The following is a 19481-nucleotide window of genomic DNA, read 5'->3' as shown; positions in this document are numbered from 1 at the left end:
TAATTGCTTTCTGGCTCTTTTTTTTTTTAAAAAAAGATGTTTTGTTCCTTTCTCCTTCTCTTGCTGTCTTCCTTTGTGATTTGATCATTTTCTATAGCGGTGTGATTTCATTCTTTTCTCTTCATCTGCTGTGTATCTATTCTAGGTTTTTGCTTTGTGGTTATCAGGAAGCCTATATAAAACATATCATAGTTATAACAGTTAATTTTAAGCTGATGTCATCTTAACTTTGATTGCATATAAAAACTTAGCACTTTTACTCCCTTTCCCTCACATTTTATGTTTTTGTTGTCACAATTTACATCTTTTAATATTTTGTATGTATTAGCACATTATTGAAGCTATTATTATTATTAATTTTTGTTTCTTTGAGACGGAGTCTCTCTCTGTCGCCCAGGTTGGAGTGCAGTGGTGCGATCTCGGCTCACTGCAAGCTCCGCCTCCCGGGTTCCCGCCATTCTCCTGCCTCAGCCTCTGGAGTAGCTGGGACTACAGGTGTCCGCCACCACGCCTGGCTAATTTTTTGTATTTTTAGTAAAGACGGGGTTTCACTGTGTTAGCCAGGATGATCTCGATCTCCTGACCTCGTGATCTGCCCACCTCCGCCTCCCAAAGTGCTGGGATTACAGGCGTGAGCCACCGTGCCCAGCCGCTATTATTATTTTAATAGTTCTGTCTTTTAACCTTTGTACTAGGGTTATAAGTGATTTACACACCACCATTACAGTATTAGAGTATTCTGAATTTGACTATATACTCACTTTTACCAGTGAGTTTTATATTTTCCTATGTTTTCATCTTACTAATTAGTGTTCTTTTGTCTCAGTTTGAAGAACTGCATTTAGCATTTTTTGTAAGGCAAGTCTAGCAGTGATGTACTTCCTGAGCTTCGTTTATCTTGGAAAGTCTTTATCTCTTCTTCATTTCTGAAGGACAGCTTTGCCAGATATAATATTCTTGATTGACAGTTATTTTCCTTTAAGCACTGTGACTATGTCATCCCACTGTCTCCTGACCTGCAAAGTTTCTGCTGAGAAATTTGCTGATATCCTTATGAGAGTTCCCTTGTATGTGAGGAATCTCTTTCCACTTCCTGCTTTCAAAATCTTTTTTTTTTTTCCTTTAATTTTTGGCAGTTTGATTATAATATGATTTGGTAAAGAATTATTTGGATTGACCCTGATTGGAGACTTTTGAGCTTCATATATCTGGATGTCCATATGTCTCACCAGATATAGGAAGGTTTCAGCCATTATTTTTTTCAATAAACACTCTGCCCATTTCTTTATTCCTTCTTCTGAGACTTCTATAATGTGAATGGTAGCTCTTATGATGGTGTCATATAAATCTTATAGGCTCTCTTCATTCCTTTTCATTCTTTTTTCTTTTTCCTTCTTTGTCTGAATATTTTTTAGAGACCGGTCTTTGAGTTTACAGATTACTTGCCTAATCATATCTGCCATTGTCCCCTTCTATTGCAGTTTTTTCATTTTATTCATTGTTTTCTTCAATTCCAGAATTTTTGTTTTTTTAAAATGATTTCTATTTCTTTATTGAACTTGTTGTTTCATTTATTTATTGTTTTGTTGCTGTTTTTTTTTTTTTTTTTTTTTACAGCTCTTTGAGTTTTCTTAAGAAATTATTTTGAAATCTTTTCAGGCAATTACAGATCTCCTTATCTTTGGAGTTGGTTATTCTGTTCTTTTGGTGGTGTCATGTTTTCTTGATTTCTTTTTTTCCCTACCCTGTCCTCCTTTTCCTTGATTTTTCATGCTTCTCTACATTTTGTGTTGCTATCTTCACATTTGAAGGAGTAGTCACCTCTTCCAGTCTTTACTGACTGTCCTTGGGAGAGAAATGCCTCCACCAAACAGCCCAGCTGGGAATTTCAAGGCTCTCTTGGATGCTTTCTATGGATACATCCACTGTACACCTCTTGTTCCCTCTAAGGGGATTTCTCTTCTCCTTCTCCTCCTTCTCCTTCTTCTTTGCCCAGGCTGGAGTGCAGTTGCACGAACTTGGGTCACTGCAACCTCTTCCTCCTGGGTTCAAGCAGTTCTTCTACCTCAGCCTCCCAAATAGCTGGGACTACAGGCATGTGCCACCACAGCCAGTTAACTTTTGTATTTTTAGTAGAGATGGGGTTTCACCATTTTGGCCAAGCTGGTCTTGAACTCCTAACCTCAAGTGATCCATATGCTATGGCCTCCCAAAGTGCTGGGATTACAGGTGTGAGCCACTGCACCCAGCCCCTCTAAGGGGATTTCTTAAGGTTGTATACCTGCTCTTGACTCTGCAAAGCCAGGCCAGGTGCTCAGAGTCTCCTGTTTGTTTTTCCTAGAATGGTGTCTTGAAACCCTCAAATTGTGTGCATTCCTCCAATCCCACAAAATTGAACTGGCTCTTTTTGTAAGATGCTTGCAGTGCTGTCCACAGGGGCATGCTTGGGAGACTGGTCTGGGGAAGATGGGGTTGAGGGTAAGCAGTGTTTGGGGTGCCTGTGGGTCATTTGGGAGGGGTCCACGAGCAAGGCATCCCAAGTGGCTCGTGGAGGGGTTTCCTGATGGAGTCTGTGGATCTGCATCCTCTCTTCATAGGAACATGCTCTCCCAACCACTGAGCTCTACAGTTCACTTCAGTATTCTTGCCGAGATGAGAAAGAAGTGGTCTTCATGAACTGTGTCCTGCATGGCTGGGGAAGCTGGACATTCACCACTATGCTCTCGCTTTCTCCCGTGGGAGAAACTGTGATCAAAGTGGACAACTCCTTTTTGTCACTGGGCTGTGCCGTCTTGGAGGGCAGATGACATGGATAGTGTTAACTGTTCTTGTTACCCTCTTCAGTGCACCTAGCCTCAGAGTTGTTGTGCCAATAGTGTGCTGAAACTTTTCCACTGGACTCTTCCCAAAGATACTCCTATCTGTTGGTAATTATTAAAGTTAATGCTTCTGTGGAGTGAGGCGTGATGATGGTAGAAAGCTCTGATTCCACCATTTTGCTGATGTCAGTTTTAATTTCTAACTGTTCACCTTCGTTCTGACATTTTGTCCCTGGGCTCTGCTTGTCATTCTCATTCCCTGAGCTCTCATATGTACCAAGAACATGTCTCTTTCCTTCACTTCTGTAGCTAGCGTCACAAAAACAAGAATCTATATGGATCATTGTGTTCGTGATAGAGTCCCTGTTTTAGTGCTTAGTGCTTTTAGCCTTAAATTCCATCTTTTCTGGTAATATTGCTTCCTTTCCTCCTTTGTTTTTCACTGTGTTTTCCTGGTGTCTGCTTGTCCATCCCTTTATTTTTAACTTTTCTTTAGCATAAAGACTGATATGCTCAATCTTACATTTTACATTACTTTAAAATTTACATTCATAATTATTTTAATTATCAATTTCTATTTGTTTTTTCCTCATTTTTTTCTGATTTCATTGGATTACTATTCATTCTATTTTCCTTCTGTTTTCTCCTTGTTAATTTAGATGTTTTATTGAAATTTTTGTTCCATTCTCTTTTCTTATGCTCATTAGACATCTATGTACTATTTTTTTTTTTTTTTTTTGCAGGTGAGATTCCAGTGTTTCCTCCAGAAAGGCACATTATTCCTCCACCATGGTCTTCTTTTTCCTGTGTACCTTGACCCTGTAGGAGATGAGACTTCTAAAGTGATTCCTTTCCCTCTTTTCTCCTCATCACCCCTTCCCACTCTCTAAGGTGAGATCCTTGGAACATTTTTACGTCTCTTCTCCCTCTCCACCTATAACTCCTAGGTTTTCCTGGAATTCTCTAGGATTTTAGTCCCAGATGATTACTGGAATTTTCCTTGCTGTATGTCCCTCCTGTTTCCAAAGGACTTATGTAGCATTTACACTACATAACCCCCAGTAGCCATGAATATCCACTTAACCTGTCTATACTGGGTTCGTTTTTCATCAGTATTGTGTTTCCTCTCATCTCCCTATATCTTGAAGTCTCAATCTAACTCTCACTTTTGAAGATCTTTGCTTGATTATTTTCTTCAGATGGGAATTGCTGGTGGTATACTCTTCACATTCTTTTGTGTTAACAGTTTCCTTCTTTTGCCCTGGTGGGTGAATACCATCTTGAATAAGTAGAGGATCATAAGTTGTTTTCAGCTTAGCTATTGGCAAATGTCATTTCCATTGTCTACTGGCTTCCAATGTTGACAGTAAGAAGTCAGATGCCAATTTTCCCCTTTGCAGATAATGTGTACTTTCTGTTGATTAGCTTGTCAGCATTTTGTTCTGTTTTTGTTTTAAACTTTCAGGAATCTTACCAGGACATGCCCAAGTGAGTGTTTTCCTTTATCAATCAAGTCTAGAACTCTGGGAGTCATTTCAATCTCTAGACTCCAGGGTCTCTTCAGTTTAGGAATAATTTTTTGTATTACACACTTTATAATTATTCCCTCTCCTTTGTTTCCTTTTTTCCTGAGATTGGTATCATTGCTCATGGTAGGTCTCCTGGATCCAGCCCCAAGTCTCATCTTTCCTCTTATTTGTCCACCATTTTGCTTGATCCATATGGTGAGAATTTTTTCCAATGTATTTCTAGTCACTAGTTCATATCTCTCCAATGACCATTCTCTCTTTAACTCATCTACCAAATTGTTCAATGGAACAGCTGCCAGATAAAGTGCAGAACAACTAATTAAATGTGAATCTCAAACAAACATTGAAATTTTTAGTGTAAGTATGTTGACTATAGCATGGGACATAGTATACTAAAATTATTTACTATTTATGTGAAATTAAAATTTAATGGGGTGTCTTGTAGTTGTTTGTATGTAGTTGCTTTAATTCTGGCAACCCTATTCAATGGAGAAATCATATCTCTGAGGTCCAGACATTCTTTTTGTGTATGCATTTGATTTTCCTTAAGTGTCCTTGTTTATTTGCTTGGTTCTTTGTTGTTTTTAAAATCTTCAGTTCACTGGCCAGGTGTTTTGTTTGTTTGGGTTGGTCTTTCTCTGTTTGGATGCTGAGTTTCCCTTACTATGTTATGTTAAAAACAGTCAGAGATCTGCTTGTCATGGGACCCCAAGTAGAGGCTGACCTCTGACTGGTAGAAGATAAAGGAATTTTTCCCATAGCGGGAAGGGGGAGGGTATATGGTAGAAGGTGGACAGCAGTCCCATGCTGAGGGCCTAAGAAGAGCCCCTCTGTGCCAAAGTGTCTTTGTGCTCTTCTAGCTTCACAGATGCAAAAGATTAAGTTTACCTGTTCGGTGTCTTTGTGGCCTCTAAGAGCCATGGATCCCACACATACTCAGATAGGATTGATACTGTCTCTCACCTCAGGAATCCTTGTACTACCACAGATCACACTGTCTTTGCAAATCTGTTATTAGCAATCTCTGCTTCCAGGTTTTCAGGTGCTGGTTCCATGGCTCTTCCTGAGCCGAAAATAAGGAAACTCCATAGACCTTGTCCACTGGAACTCGTTCCCATCTACCCTCCACTCTATCCAGGTAAGAAACCAACCATCTCAGGAAAGGAACCAGGCAGGAGTCAGAGGGGAAGATGGGCACTGAAGGTATCAAAATACCCAAAAGATGCAAATTGCTAAAGGAAACAATAATCAGATTAGGTGTGGTGAAAGACCTGGAAAAAAATTTGAAAAAAAAATTAAAGTGTAAGAGGATTCTGCTCTTGGAATATACCACAGTTGTCTTCATGTTCTCACTTCATTTAAACCAACCGAAACTGAAATCAGAAAGGAGGCATATGAATGTGATCTATGCAGAGAAGATAACAAGGATGCTGTGTAGCTAGAGCCACACATGGCTTGGGATGAGTGTATTACAACAGGCATAGAACATTTCATTATTTTGGAGGGTTCTACTGGACAGTACTACAATTAGTTGTCTATACTCACAGAGAGGTCCTTGCCTCTCCATTACAAACACTGGCTAACCAATCTGAATGTTTGTATCTTGAGGTAAAATGATATTTTTCTTTTTTCTTTCTTTCTTTCTTTTTTTTTTTTTGAGACAGAGTCTCGCTCTGTCGCCCAGGCTGGAGTGCAGTGGCGTGATCTCGGCTCACTGCAAGCTCTGCCTCCCGGGTTCATGTCATTCTCCTGCCTCAGCCTCCCGAGTAGCTGGGACTACAGGTGCCCGCCACCACGCCTGGCTAATTTTTTTGTATGTTTTTCGTAGAGACGGAGTTTCACTGTGTTAGCCAGGATGGTCTCGATCTCCTGACCTTGTGATCCACCTGCCTCGGCCTCCCAGAGAGCTGGGATTACAGGCGTGAGCAACTGCGCCTGGCCAAAATGATATTTTTCATACATGTATTGTTTTAATGTGGCACCTGAACCTGGTGGACATCATGCTGAATGAAATAAGTCAGGCTCGGAAACACAAATATCACATCATCTCACTTATAGGTAGAATTTTGAAAAATCAAATTCATAGAAGTAGAGAGTAGAAGGGTGGTACTGGAGACTGGCTGGGGGAAGGAGAAGAAGAAATGAAGAGATATTGGTGCAAGTGTACAAAGTTTCAGTCATACAAGACCAATATGCTTTTGAGATTTATTGCATGACCTAATGACTATAGTTAATAAAAATGATTTGTATATTTCAAAATTGCCGAGAGAGTAAATTTAAATGTCTTACCACAAACATGATAATTAATTGAGGTGATGGATATATTAATTATCTTGCTCTAATCACTTCATATTGAATAAATGTATCAAAACTTCATAGTGTACCCCATAAATATATACAATTATGAGTTGCCATTTTAAAATATTATGAATTTAGGCCAGGCACAGTGGCTCATGCTTGTATTCCCAACACTATGGGAGGCTGAGGCAGGAGGATCACTTGAAGTCAGGAGTTCAAGACCAACCTGGGCAACGTGGTGAAACCCTGTCTCTACTAAAAATACAAAAATTAGCTGGGCGTGGTGGTGCATGCCTGGAATCCCAGCTACTCAGGAGACTGAGGCAGGAGAATCATTCAAACTTGGGAGGTGGAGGTCGCAGTGATCTGGGAGATTGTACCACTGCACTCCAGCCAGGGCGACAATGAGACTCCGTCTCAAAAAAAAAGATTATTAATTTAAAAATATTTTAAGTGATCAGCTGTTACTCTACCCCAATCTCATTGGAGAATAAGATTCTACTGCGGTTCTAAGTCATTGTGTGCTGAGTAAAGTGGTTAACTAGTGATTTGAAAGAATACAGGAGAGAGGGTAGGAGAGTGAGTAACAGGTGGAGCCTCTGTTTTCTTTATAGAAAAAAGTAAACAACTCTTTGTTTAGTTAGAGAGCACTTAATTTTAGGATGGGCTTCACTGGAGGGTAAATGGCTCATTACCCACCTCCATGATTCTGGAGGCGAAGGCACTTGTAGCTCCACCGTTAGCCAGCTGGATAACAGGCCCATGTCTGTCCTGGCCAAGCCTGTTTTGCTGTCTGGTTGCTTCGGCCAAGAAGCCTTCCCAGAACCGTGCCCTCCTTCCTCATGCCTGTGCTTTCTGTGTTGTATTTCTTTGTATTTTCTTTTTGCTTATAATTTTCTCCCCCCACTGTAAGCCCCATGAGGACAAGGAACATGATTGGTTTTGCTCACTGCCGTATCTTCCGTACCTAGTACGTAACAGGACATCAATAAATATTAGTTGAATGGAAGATTAAATCAACAAAATGGTGAGTTCCTGATGATCATAGGTATGTGCCACCTGGGTTCTATTCCAGTAAGGAATGGGAGATTGGCTGCCGGAGGCAAGAACGTGTTTCATTTACATTTACGCATTTGACCCTGAAAAATGTCACCAGATTTTACAAGTTATTTACAATGGTGTCTTGGAATGACTGCAGGCTCGTAAATAACCAGGAAAGATAAGGCTGAAAAAAAAAAAAAAAACAGTTGAAGAATCAGTTGCTTGTTTTAAAAACTCATTTCACAATGCGTTATTTTCTTACCAAAGAGGCAGGAAGCTCAATGTCTATAAAACTTTAAAGTAAGCATTTCCCTTTAAAATGAAGACACACTCTTAAACCTCTCTGTGAACCAATCTCTCCATAAAAATTTATGATGTATTTGAATTAGAGCATGCTAATTTAAGTGTGATGCACAAAGAGCACTGCAAAGGAAAAAACAAACCTTAATTTTATTTAATCTCAAATAATAACTAATAATTGCACAAGAAATAATCAGGATCTTTGAAAATATAAGCAGTCATTTACATTGCCATTGGTAGCTTAAATGTGTAGCCCAGCAATCAGAACAAGGAGTCAAAGTTTCTTTTCAAGGATCTGAAATAAAAAGGCAAATAGCAAAGCATGTGCCCAAACAGCCGGCTTGGAGTAACTCCCTGTCCCAGGATGCTCAATGCCTTTGTAAAAGAAATATCAATCGGGAATGTTCTTCTAACATAAATAAGCTAGAGGAAATATCTTGATTTTTAGAACTGATAGGATTTCAAAACAGGAAAATCTTCAAAGCTGATACATTTTTTTTGAAAGAACAAGATATTTCTTCCCAAGGCAGCATTTGTGCCCTGGAACTAGCTGAGCAATCCTCCTGCTGACCTTTCCCCTTGTTCTGAAAGGCTTAATGGTGACTAGCATGCCATTTCTCATGCGTCTTGAGTCAATGTGGTGTTCTGAGTTTTATTAGGTTGGTGCAAAAGTAATTGCAGTTTTGCCATTAAAAATAATGACAGGCCGGGTGCAGTGGCTCACGCCTGTAATCCCAGCCCTTTATGGAGGCTGAGGCAGGTGGATCATGAGGTCAAGAGACTGAGACCATCCTGGCCAACATGGTAAAACCCCGTCTCTACTAATAATACAAAAATTAGCTGCTGTGGTGGTGCGTGCGTGTAATCCCAGCTTCTCAGGAGGCTGGGCAGGAGAATTGATTTTACCAGGGAGGCAGAGGTTGCAGTGAGCTGAGATCATGCCACTGCATTCCAGCCTGGCGACAGAGCAAGACTCTGTCTCAAAAAAACAAAAAAAAGAAAAAAAAAAAAGAGACAAAAACTGCAACTAGTTTTGCACCAACCTCATAGTTCCTAACTAAACTCCATATTCTTTACAAATACTCCATCTTCAATGATAACAATAGACACTGAGGACTCCTAGAGGGAGAAAGAAGGAGGGGGCAAGGGTTGAAAAATGAACTGTTGTGTACTCTGCTCACTACCCCGGTGACAGGATGTTTCTTAACCCAAACGTCAGCATCATGCAACATACTCACATAACAAACCCGCACGTGTACCCCCGAATCTAAAATAAAAGCAGAAATTATATGAAAAAACTGGGGTGGGAGTTGGAAGGAACTTTAGATATGTAATAAATTTGTTTGAAAACTGTTAATTTCTCATGCTTTCATTAAAAAATAATTTTCCTCAAGAAACCCCAAATTCTCCACCTCAGGAATGAAAAGTGCATTTGAATTTCAAGAAGGTATGGGCATGAGAACCTTGCAGTTTTCTAATTTGTGGAGACAAAATAATTTTTATAACACCAACCAGAGGTTTCCTCTACAAACCCCTTGTAATTCCTTTCTGAGCTCTCTTCCTTCTAGAATCTTGGGGCATCTGAAAAACTCAAAGCTATGTAAACACAACATATTGGTTGTTGGAGACAGGATAGCTTCTTGTCTTCTTTCCCTTGTGATATGGTTTGGCTGTGTCCCCATCCAACTCTCAACTTGAATTGCATCTTCCAGAATTCCCACGTGTTGTAGGAGGGACTCAGGGGGAGGTAATTGAATCATGGGGGCTGGTCTTTCCCCTACTATTCTCCTTATAATTAATAAGCCTCACAAGATCTGATGGGTTTATCAGGGGTTTCCGCTTTTGCTTCTTCCTCATTTTCTCTTGCTGCTGCCATTTTCGCCTCCCGCCATGATTCTGAGGCCTCCCCAGCTATGTGGAACTGTAAGTCCAGTTAAACCTCGTTTTCTTCCCAGTCTCAGGTATGTCTTTATCAGCAGCATGAAACGGACTAATACACCTTGTTTTCTCACTGTGGGGTTGTAAACATTTGTAAATGTGGCCACCTTAGAACAGACGTTGAGTGGAAATAAGAATTGTAGGGTAGCACTGAAGCCAGTTGCCTTGTGTAGGACCATGTTCTCTGTTTTCATGCCTTTTCTTGTCCTCCTCTTAAAAGATGTCTCCTTCTAGTATTCTACCAGACTACCTTAGTCTTCGGATTTTCCTTTCTATCCAAGCTTATTTTTATAAAGGTTGGGATCAATTTATTGATGTGATTGAGATGGACCCTCCTTCTAGCGTCAAGGCATTCTAATGGAATATTAAAATTATAAAGATGACTCCCCCAGACCCAGAAAAAACAAATCCTTGGCCTTGAACAGTTCTGTTAGAACCAATTCTGTAGGGAAGTTTGTGAAAGTAACTTGCAAAGCTACTCAATATGGATATTAAACAGCCTAGTTTTTCCTAATTGTGCCTCATTTCAACTGTGTCCTCTGGGTACTACTGGCTTCCCAGTGGTTGGGTTGAGTATAAGCCCCCAAATATGAGTAAAAGAAGAAAAAGTTAATTCAATCACCAAGTCTTGCTCGCATATTAAAAATTGGATAGATGAATGTTCAATCATATGTTTTGGCTTTGGCCAGCCAGACGAGGTCAATTTTTAGATTTGAACTGCTTAGAATTCTTCAGGCAAGTCTTGATGGAGCACTTCTTGGACAGTTAGAACTTTACCAGGTTCACAGGAGAGCTCAGATGAAGCGAACACCTCATCCACACTGGTTTCCTTTGGAGACCTTTACTGTTGAGAGGTGGTTTTCATAGCCGCAAAATGACAAGTGCAAGTTGAGTAGATCAGTGTTTATCAACCAGGTGCCACATTGTGCCCCAGGAGACATTTGACAATGATGGGGTGTTACTGGCATCTAGTAGACAGAGGTCAGGGATGCTGCTTAACATCTTACAATGCACAGGACAGTTGCCACAGCAAAGCATTACCCAGACCCAAATGCCAATAGTGCCAAGGTTGAGAAGCCCTGCAGTAGAGAATGCTGAATGTCACAACCAGGGAAGCAAAATCTGTCAGTGGTGAAAGGGATGTGTATGGCACTTAGAGTAGAATCACAGCCAGAGTCAGGACACAGGTAGATTTTGGAGAACTGGAAGTGAGGACCAAAACCAGGGGAAAAGTGAGAGAAGCCAAGACCGTGGCTATGATCCAGGTTGTAATACCTGAAGCTTCCTTGGCTTGTATGGTGGGGTACTGGACTTGCCTAATTTCTAGGCATGGAGTTGGGGCTTGTAACAATGGTGGGAGATGGGCAGTGCTTTGGGAATGTAGCTGACCACTGCATGGGTGCTAACTAGCCCAGGGATCTTAAAGAATTTGTGTAGGCCATGAGGATCCACTCCAGCCACTGAATAGTCATAGAATTGAATCTAGGACATCACCGTATGCTACTACCATGCAGTTTTATCCCTTCTAAGAATCCAAATGCCCTAGTTTAATTTCTAAATTTTTGTTTTGTTTATTTTCACTAAAGCAACATGTTAGTGGACTGCGGAGGGAAGTGAATTCATGGCTGGTCCTCATCTTGATATCTTTTAATAGGATCATGAGGCAGTGTGGTAGGAAGAAAACGTTGTATTTAGTTAAAAAAAAAAAAACAAAGAGAATCTGCCTTTTAAGAGAGGAAGAGCATGGCTATCAGAAGTGAATGGCTCTTTGATGGAGTAAAATACTTTGATGAGACTTTGTGGTTGATGAAGATGTCTCTGTCTTGCTTTTTTGACTACTTCTAGGCAAAACCTAGATTTGTAAGGGTAAGTGAGAGAGCTCAACTGCTTCAGCTTAGAAAATAAGGATTTTGACTGTTTGTGGGCAGCCCAAGAATGAGGTAACTGAATGTGGGAAGCCCAAGAATGAGGGGCCCAGTGTGTGAGAATTGGATCCCAGAAATATGGCCATAGGCAGCCTCTGGGGAGAGACCAAGGCCATGAGAAGCTCCCCATGAAGGAGACATTATGGGACGTGTGTGAAAATGACACAGTTTTAAATTACGTGCGTTCTGGCTGTGAAGGAATGGTTGTAAAGAAACCACTTATATTATCCCTAAAAGCCTCAGTAAACGTTTGCCACACGATGTAACAGCTTTGGGATAGTTGCTGGGGAAGAGGGAAGGAGGCTGAGTGGGGTTCAGAAGCAGCAGGGAAGAGAGGTGACCCACAGGAGGGTAAGCCCTACTTCATCCACTCCTCTTTCCCATTCTCACTCTCTGAGGCACTGGAAAGGTCACAGGACCTCTCCTAGTACATGAGATGGGAGCTCGACACATTTTATTTGGAGAATAAAAGAAAATATGCCGTCATCAAACTAGAGCGTGTTGGGGGGCATCTGGTTTACAGAACTAAGTCAAGGAGAAGAACTCTCAAGCAATGGTGACATCTGCCAGCTCTGCAAAGTGGGCCCTGCCTTGTCACACAAGTCTCCTTGGGCAAATGTTTTCTATGTAGATTTTAGACACTTTCCTGTGACTTTCTCAAGGTCTTTTGGTGACACATGCAGCTTGAAGCTTTTGCAAGGGGCTGGAGTCTAATCTCTTCTTGCCCAGCTTGGCTGCAGGAGAAGAAGGGAGATATGTTAGGACTTGGCTTTGACTGAGGTGGTGTAGCCTGGGGTTGCAAGGGCTGTTGCCAAGGCTTTCTGGTGGCATCACATGCTTCAGGAGTTGGATGAATTTTCTGTCATCTTTTGGACTCTGTCGCCTCAAGATCGCTTGTTTTGTTGCATTGCAAAGATCATGTTAGCTGTGTCTCCTTGCCGTTCTGAGAGTGCCTGGCTGCCAAACACAGTCCAAGAACTGTTGAAGAGGCCTCTTGCTAAAGGTGACAAGTTGAAGATGCCAAGGCGTTTGCTGCAGTCATTTTTCTTGCCCAATCTTTATCATCTTCCATTAGTCAGGAGTATTAATGGACAGTCCTGGAGTGTCCAAATGGCAATAATCCATCTTTTTCCCAATCCTACCAAGGGTGTTTCAATGCAGCTGTTGGAATAGTAATGTTTGTGCATTATTGCTGTTCTCAGGGTACTGTAAACTTCTCCCCCTCCTGGATCTTTGCTCACTAAATCAGCCCTAACCCTTTCTCTTCAGTCTCTTTCTCTTGACTTTCCCCTAGATCTTGCCCCTAGACCATCACTCAGCTGGTTCCTCTTCATTGCCTCCATCTTAGTTCAAATGTTTCTTCTTTGGACAGTTTGGAGTTTTGCTCCCCCTCTTCCCTGCCATTCTATAGTAGGTTTTTTTTTTCTTAAAATAGTGCATATCATCTGGGTGCGGTGGCTCATGCCTATAATCCCAGCACTTTGGGAGGCTGAGGGGGTGTATCACGAGGTTAGGAGATAAAGACCATCCTGGCCAACATGGTAAAACCCTGTCTCTACTAAAAATACAAAAAAATTACCTGGGTACGGTGATGCGTGCCTGTAATCCCAGCTACTCGGGAGGCTGAGGCATGAGAATCGCTTGGAGCCGGGAGGCAGAGGTTGCAGTGAGCAGAGATCATGCCACTGCACTCCAGTCTGGTGACAGAGTGAGACTCCGTCTCAAAAAAAAAAAAAAAAAAAAAGGTGCATATCACTACCTGTATTGGCTTGTTTAATGGCTTACTTAGTGTCTTAGTCCGTTGTGTTGCTATAAAGGAACACCTGAGGTTGGGTAATTTATAAAGAAAAGAAGTTTATTTGGCTCATGGTTCTGCAGGCTGTACGTGAAGCATGGCCAGCATTTGCTTCTGGTGAGGGCCTCAGGGAGCTTCCAGTTATGGCGGAAGGCGAAGGAGAGCTGCATCACATGGCGACAGGAAAGAACAGAGAGGAGGAGGTGCTAGGCTTTTTCTTAGTACCCAGATCTTGCCTGAACTAATAGAGTAAGAACTCACTCATAGGTATGGCACCAAGACATTCATGCATGATCTGCCCCCATGGTCCAAAAACCTCCACTAGGCCTCACCTCCAATACTGAGGATCAGATTTCAACGTGAGATTTGCAAGGACAAATACCCAAACTGTATCACTTGCTTATTATCTTTCTCCCTCTACTAGAATATAAGCTCAAGAATGACCAGGATTGCATCCGATATGCTCACCATCGTATCCTTCCCATGTACAACTGTACCCTGCACACACTAGGTTCTCAAGAAATATTCATGTAATAAGTGAATAATTGAATGAATGAATGACTAAGTGAAACTTCTCTTTACAACAAGCAAATGTAATAGCCCTTTCTAAGCTCTCATCATCCTCATTGTCCTTGGTGGATTCCCACCACACTCAGAATTCCTTTTCACCTTTCCATGCATATGAGGCCCCACCTAATCAGGTGCTGGTCTTCTTAGCTTTCTGTCTCCTACCACTTTTTGTCTTGCTTCGGGAACTCCACTGTCTTTTCTGTTATAGGAACATGCTAAGGTTATTCTTCATAGTCAAGAGCACAAGCTCTGAACCCAGCCAAATCTGTTTTTGAACTCAAGTTCCACTTATTGCTAGCTGTGTGATATTGGGAAATTCTTTATGTTCTGTAACCCTCACCTCCCTCATGTGTAAAATGGAAGTAATGATGGTACCTGTCTCATATGTGGCAACTACGTGGGGCAGCACACTCAAGGAATGAAGGAAGTTTCAGTGAATGACAACTTTATAAAGACAGTGTTGAGGCAGCCCAGTGCAGCGGTTTGGGAGCCAGGAACAGCGTGTGGGCCGGAGTGTGGCTGCAGGACAGGAGGTCAAAAATAAGGGTTGAGGGTGGAATAGGAAGACCCCGGAACGTCATCCTGGGAGCTTGAGATTTTATTCTACATTTCTCTTGTTCTTAACTATTTAGGGTGATGGATCTCTGCAGTAAGTGGAAGAGTTCTTCATGGCCCCCAAGGTTATATCCATCTAGAACTTCAGCACGTAATTTCATCTGGAAATAGTGCCTTTGCGGATATAAGTTAGGTAAAACTGAAGATGAGATCATACTGGATTAGGATGGGATCTAAATCCAATGAAAATGTCTTCATAAAAAACAGGAAAGAACCCATAGAAACACAAGGAAGAAGGTCATGTGAAGATGGAGGCAGAGATTGGAGGGATGCAGCCACCGGCCCAGGAATGCCAGCAGCCACCCAGAAGCTGGAAGGAAATGAGGGATTCTCTCCTAGAACCTTTAGAGAGAACATGGTCCTGTGAACAGCTTGATTTTGGACTTGCCCATAGCTTGTATACTCTTACTTTGGATACAATTTTATCCAAACTTGGCTAAACAGTTTCTCAGCCTATGGAAAATTTAAAATGGAGAAGATTCAACTCGATTCTTACAGATTCAAAGCAAGAAAATGATGGGAACATAGGAGGAGACCAAGAAAGCCTATAAAAAGCAAAAATATGAAGTGAACATTGTGGTAGCTTTAAGATGTTTAGTGTAGCTGCAGGCACCCTATACACATGAAAACCCCCAAGGGGAATCCCCATATCACAGTGTAGTGTGATATTTGACATTCGTGATCATCTAGAGATGTACAGAAAAGGTGAATCTGTGTTCTGTATATTCTGCCTAAGGCAAAGAAATGTTTAGCTCTCTTTAAAATAGTTCCATAATTTTTTCTAAAAAGCTTTGCTTGAAAACTGTAAGCTTCCCATATCTGGAGCATTTCACTTTAAATATTTGGATAAATATGTTATCTTCTTACTTGGACATTTCATGTGTTTAGGGATTGTCTTCTAAATTCTTCCTAATTCATATAGCTGCTAACACTTCCCGCAGAGCTAAACCATTACAGATATGAAATAAAGACCTATTGATTTGACTTACTTTTACTTGTAAAACCTTCTGAGTGTTATAACCTCATTTAATCTTTCAGCATTTACAGTTTCAAGAGTTTGTGTCACAATTAGAAGAATTCAGCTGCACCTCCAAGTGACAGCAGTTGCTCTGGTTGGTGGGTGATCTCAGGAGGCTTGAGAATTGCTTTGTCTGTGAGGGAAGTAAGACATTTTCAGAGCCCCACTTTAGAAGGTGTGAACTGGCTAGATAATGAACCCCAGGGCTAACGCTGCTATAGCAGTGGGAAGGAGGTGATGGGTTTTCAGTTTGGACCTCAAACATCAATACCCTCCTGGTACGGGGAGGAACAGAGTCCCTCCTTTACTTCTCCATTAGAAAGAATGAGATGGCAAGACAATGAAACAGGCAAAGTGAACAGAGATGCAAGACAAAATTCAGGTGAGAGAGCCAGAGCATCACTCAGCCATTCCTGACATGTAAAACAGGCAACTAGAAATTTGCAGAAAGGAAGCGAAGTCTCCATAAAGATGTTTTTAAAGTGAGCTTGAAGTATTTGGAGACAATTCAGTGTTACATAAAATCTGCAAATCTCTGGATAAAGAAGCAGAGATCCCAGCATGGGACAAATGGAGCCTCAAAAGTGGGAAGAAGACAGAGAAGACCAGGGCAGAATGCATCTCTTCCTTTCTCTTGGCTTTCCTGGATAAGGACTGCATCATTCCTGTGGAAGGACAGGCCATCAGCTCCGAAACACTGTATGTATTTTCCAGTATATACTGCTAGCTGTGTGATGTTGGGAAAATTTGTTACCCTGTCTAACCCCCACTTCCCTCATCTGTAAAATGGAAATAATGATAGTACCTACCTATCTCATAGGTGGCAACTACAAGGGGCAGCACACTCAGGGAATTAAGGAAGTTTCAGTGAACATCAACTTTATGAACACAGTGTTCATAAAGGCAGGTCAGTGCAGTGGTTTGGGAGCCAGGAGAAGCACGTGGGCCGGAGTGTGCCTGCAGGAGACAAGGTCAGAGATGTTGCTAATAATGGAGAATAAAGGATGCATTCTCATTACTGACCTTGGAGTCGTTCATTCATTCCCAGAATGTGTTTTGTCAGCTTACTAAAACACTAAGTTAAATAATCCCAGGTTTTGTTTATTATAGATACTAGGACTTAGTGGACCCAAGGTTAATGACATCCAGAGTAGACAAACATCAAGTGTGTACTGCTTCTGTGCCAAGCGTCCTTCATCTAGATGTCCATGGATCATATTTGGGAGGAATGAGGAGTTCCTGGAAATTTATATGAAATTCAGTGTAGTTGCACGTGTGCACTTTCATGGCCAGCCAACCAATAGCTTTCACTATGTTTTCCAGGATCTGTGATCCTAGTAGGGATAAACAACACAGCCTTTTAGAATACTCTCTTAAAATTTTATTATTGCCATAGTACATAAATAATATGATACTGAAGTTGTCAAAAATGCATATGAACAAAACGAAAAATTATTAATGCCAAAGACTAGTTATTCCTACAGATGTTAAATATCAAAAATTATATATGTATAAAAATACGCACACACAACTAAAATACACATTAGATATATATACAGTCATGAAGCGCTTAACAACAGGGATATGTTCTGAGAAATGTGTCATTAGATGATTTCATCAATGTGCAATTATCAGTGTACAGTATTTATGCAAACCTAGATAGCATATGTAGAGTTTTATTTATCAACATTTCTTCACATGGAAAAACAACTGTTTCAGCACCATTACTGAATATCAATCATTTCCCCTACTTGATCTGCGGTGCCAATATCAAGTACCACATATCAGGTTTCTATATACGCTCCATAGTAATCTTATGGGACTACCATAATACATGCAGTCTGCTGTTGGCTGAAATGTCATTATGTAGCTCATGACATGTTATATATACTATATATTCTTAGAAAAAATAATGGTATACAACAAAATATTGGTCAACTGTTTTCCCATCTTGAAAAACATGCATGCCTTTTCTTACAAATAAATACACATTTACATAATCATCCTTAACAGCTGTAAATGTATAATAATTTAGTGAAGCATTTAAGACTTCTCTGGATTTTTCCTTATAAATGGCACCAAGATGTATAATACTTTTTGCCCACTTATCCAATTATGTTTAAGGATAAATTCCAGGAGTAGCCTTCCTGAGCCACTTTTTAAGTCTTTCGATGTTTTACCCAGTTGCTTTTTGAAACATTTTATATCAATTTATACCTCAAGGACAGTGTAGGAGGGTGCTTCCTTCCTCTTTTCTATCCCTTAGCCAAAATTGGGTATGATCATACTTTATATCTCTGTTAATAAGATAGTTAAAACAGCAGTCTCAATATTTATTTCAATTTCTTTGGTGGTTAGCCAAATTAAACACATTTTAACGTTTTTTGTGGCTATTTTTATATTTTCTGAAACTTGTCTTTATTAATGTCCTTAGCACCTTAGGACATTCATCTTTTTTTTCACTTGTAAGAATTTTTTACATATGAATCCAGCAGCACATATGCTGCAAATAAATTTTTTGGTTTGGTTTGTGGTTGACTGAGTATTTGTAGAATGAAAATTTTAACCTTTTATGTAGCCAGATCTTTAAACTGTTTCATTTAAGTGTTGCTCTTTCATGTTATTTTTAACTAGATATGAGATTTTATAAATATTCATCAGTGTTTTCTTCTAGAGACTTCATAGTTTCATTTTGACACTTTATCTAATTTCTATTTTTATATCACTCAACACTTTTTTTAGGTTGTGCATGGTAACAAGTGATCCCCAAATTTCAGGGGCTTATAATAATAACGATTTACTTCTCACTCACTTTACATGTTAGCTGTAGGTTACCTTTGGTGCTATTCCAGTTGTGCCTCATTCTGTGACCTAGACCGAAGAGGAAGCCTCTACTCTGAGCTCCTGGAAGAGAGACAAAGAGCAACAGTGGGAGCGTGCAATGGCATATAGAACTTCTACTATACTGGGGTATTTGTCACTTCTGTTCACATTTCATTGGCCAAATTAAGTCACATGGCTAAGCCTGATGTCAATGAGGCATGGAATTGTAATCTCATTGAAAAGGCAGCTCATAATTCAGAACTAAGTACAATCTACCTTATTTTTAGAGTAGGGCCTAACTTTATATTTTCCCAAATACTTAGCTAATTGCTTCAATACTATTTGTTAATAACCTGATTTTTTACACTACTCTGTGATACCACTTTTATCCCATATCACATTCTAATAGGTCCTTCTTCCTGTTCCTAAACTTTGTGTTGGGTTTCACTGAGCACCAGGACAGTTAGTGCTTTTTAAGGCAGATAGGGTAAGGCCCACTTTATTTCCCTTCATTTAAAAAGAGTCTTGGGGCCGGGCACGGTGGCTCATGCCTGTAATCCCAGTACTTTGGGAGGCCAAGGCGGGTGAATCACTTGAGGTCAGGAGTTTGAGACCAGCCTGGACAACATGGTGAAACCCCGTCTCTACTAAAAATTAGCTGGGCATGTTGTTGCCCGGCTGAGGCACGGGAATCACTTGAGCCTGAGAGGTGTAGGTTGCATTGAGCTGAGATCGTGCCACTTGCACTCCAGCCTGGGTGACAAAGTGAGACTCTGTCTCTAAATAAATAAATAGTCTTGGGTATTCTCT

The 19481-nt window shown here is 40.7% G+C and overlaps 1 long non-coding RNA gene across 2 annotated transcripts in view; it reads left to right on the top strand.

Annotated features, from left to right (window-relative positions):
- Positions 1-16870, top strand: part of ARLNC1 (androgen receptor regulated long noncoding RNA 1) — a 63862-nt gene extending 46992 nt beyond the window's left edge. The window contains exons 2-4 of one of the 2 annotated variants that reach the window (NR_131947.1): positions 5383-5486; positions 7560-7673; positions 14848-16870. This is a non-coding gene — a long non-coding RNA (androgen receptor regulated long noncoding RNA 1). The remainder of the gene's footprint in view (positions 1-5382; positions 5487-7559; positions 7674-14847) is intronic. The other variant, NR_131948.1, reaches the window with a different exon arrangement.
- Positions 16871-19481: the final 2611 nt, after the last annotated feature.

The sequence above is a fragment of the Homo sapiens genome, chromosome 16 (assembly GCF_000001405.40).
Source record: "Homo sapiens chromosome 16, GRCh38.p14 Primary Assembly".
NCBI classification, from domain to species: domain Eukaryota; kingdom Metazoa; phylum Chordata; class Mammalia; order Primates; family Hominidae; genus Homo; species Homo sapiens.
This window is presented reverse-complemented; position numbering and strand designations above follow the sequence as displayed.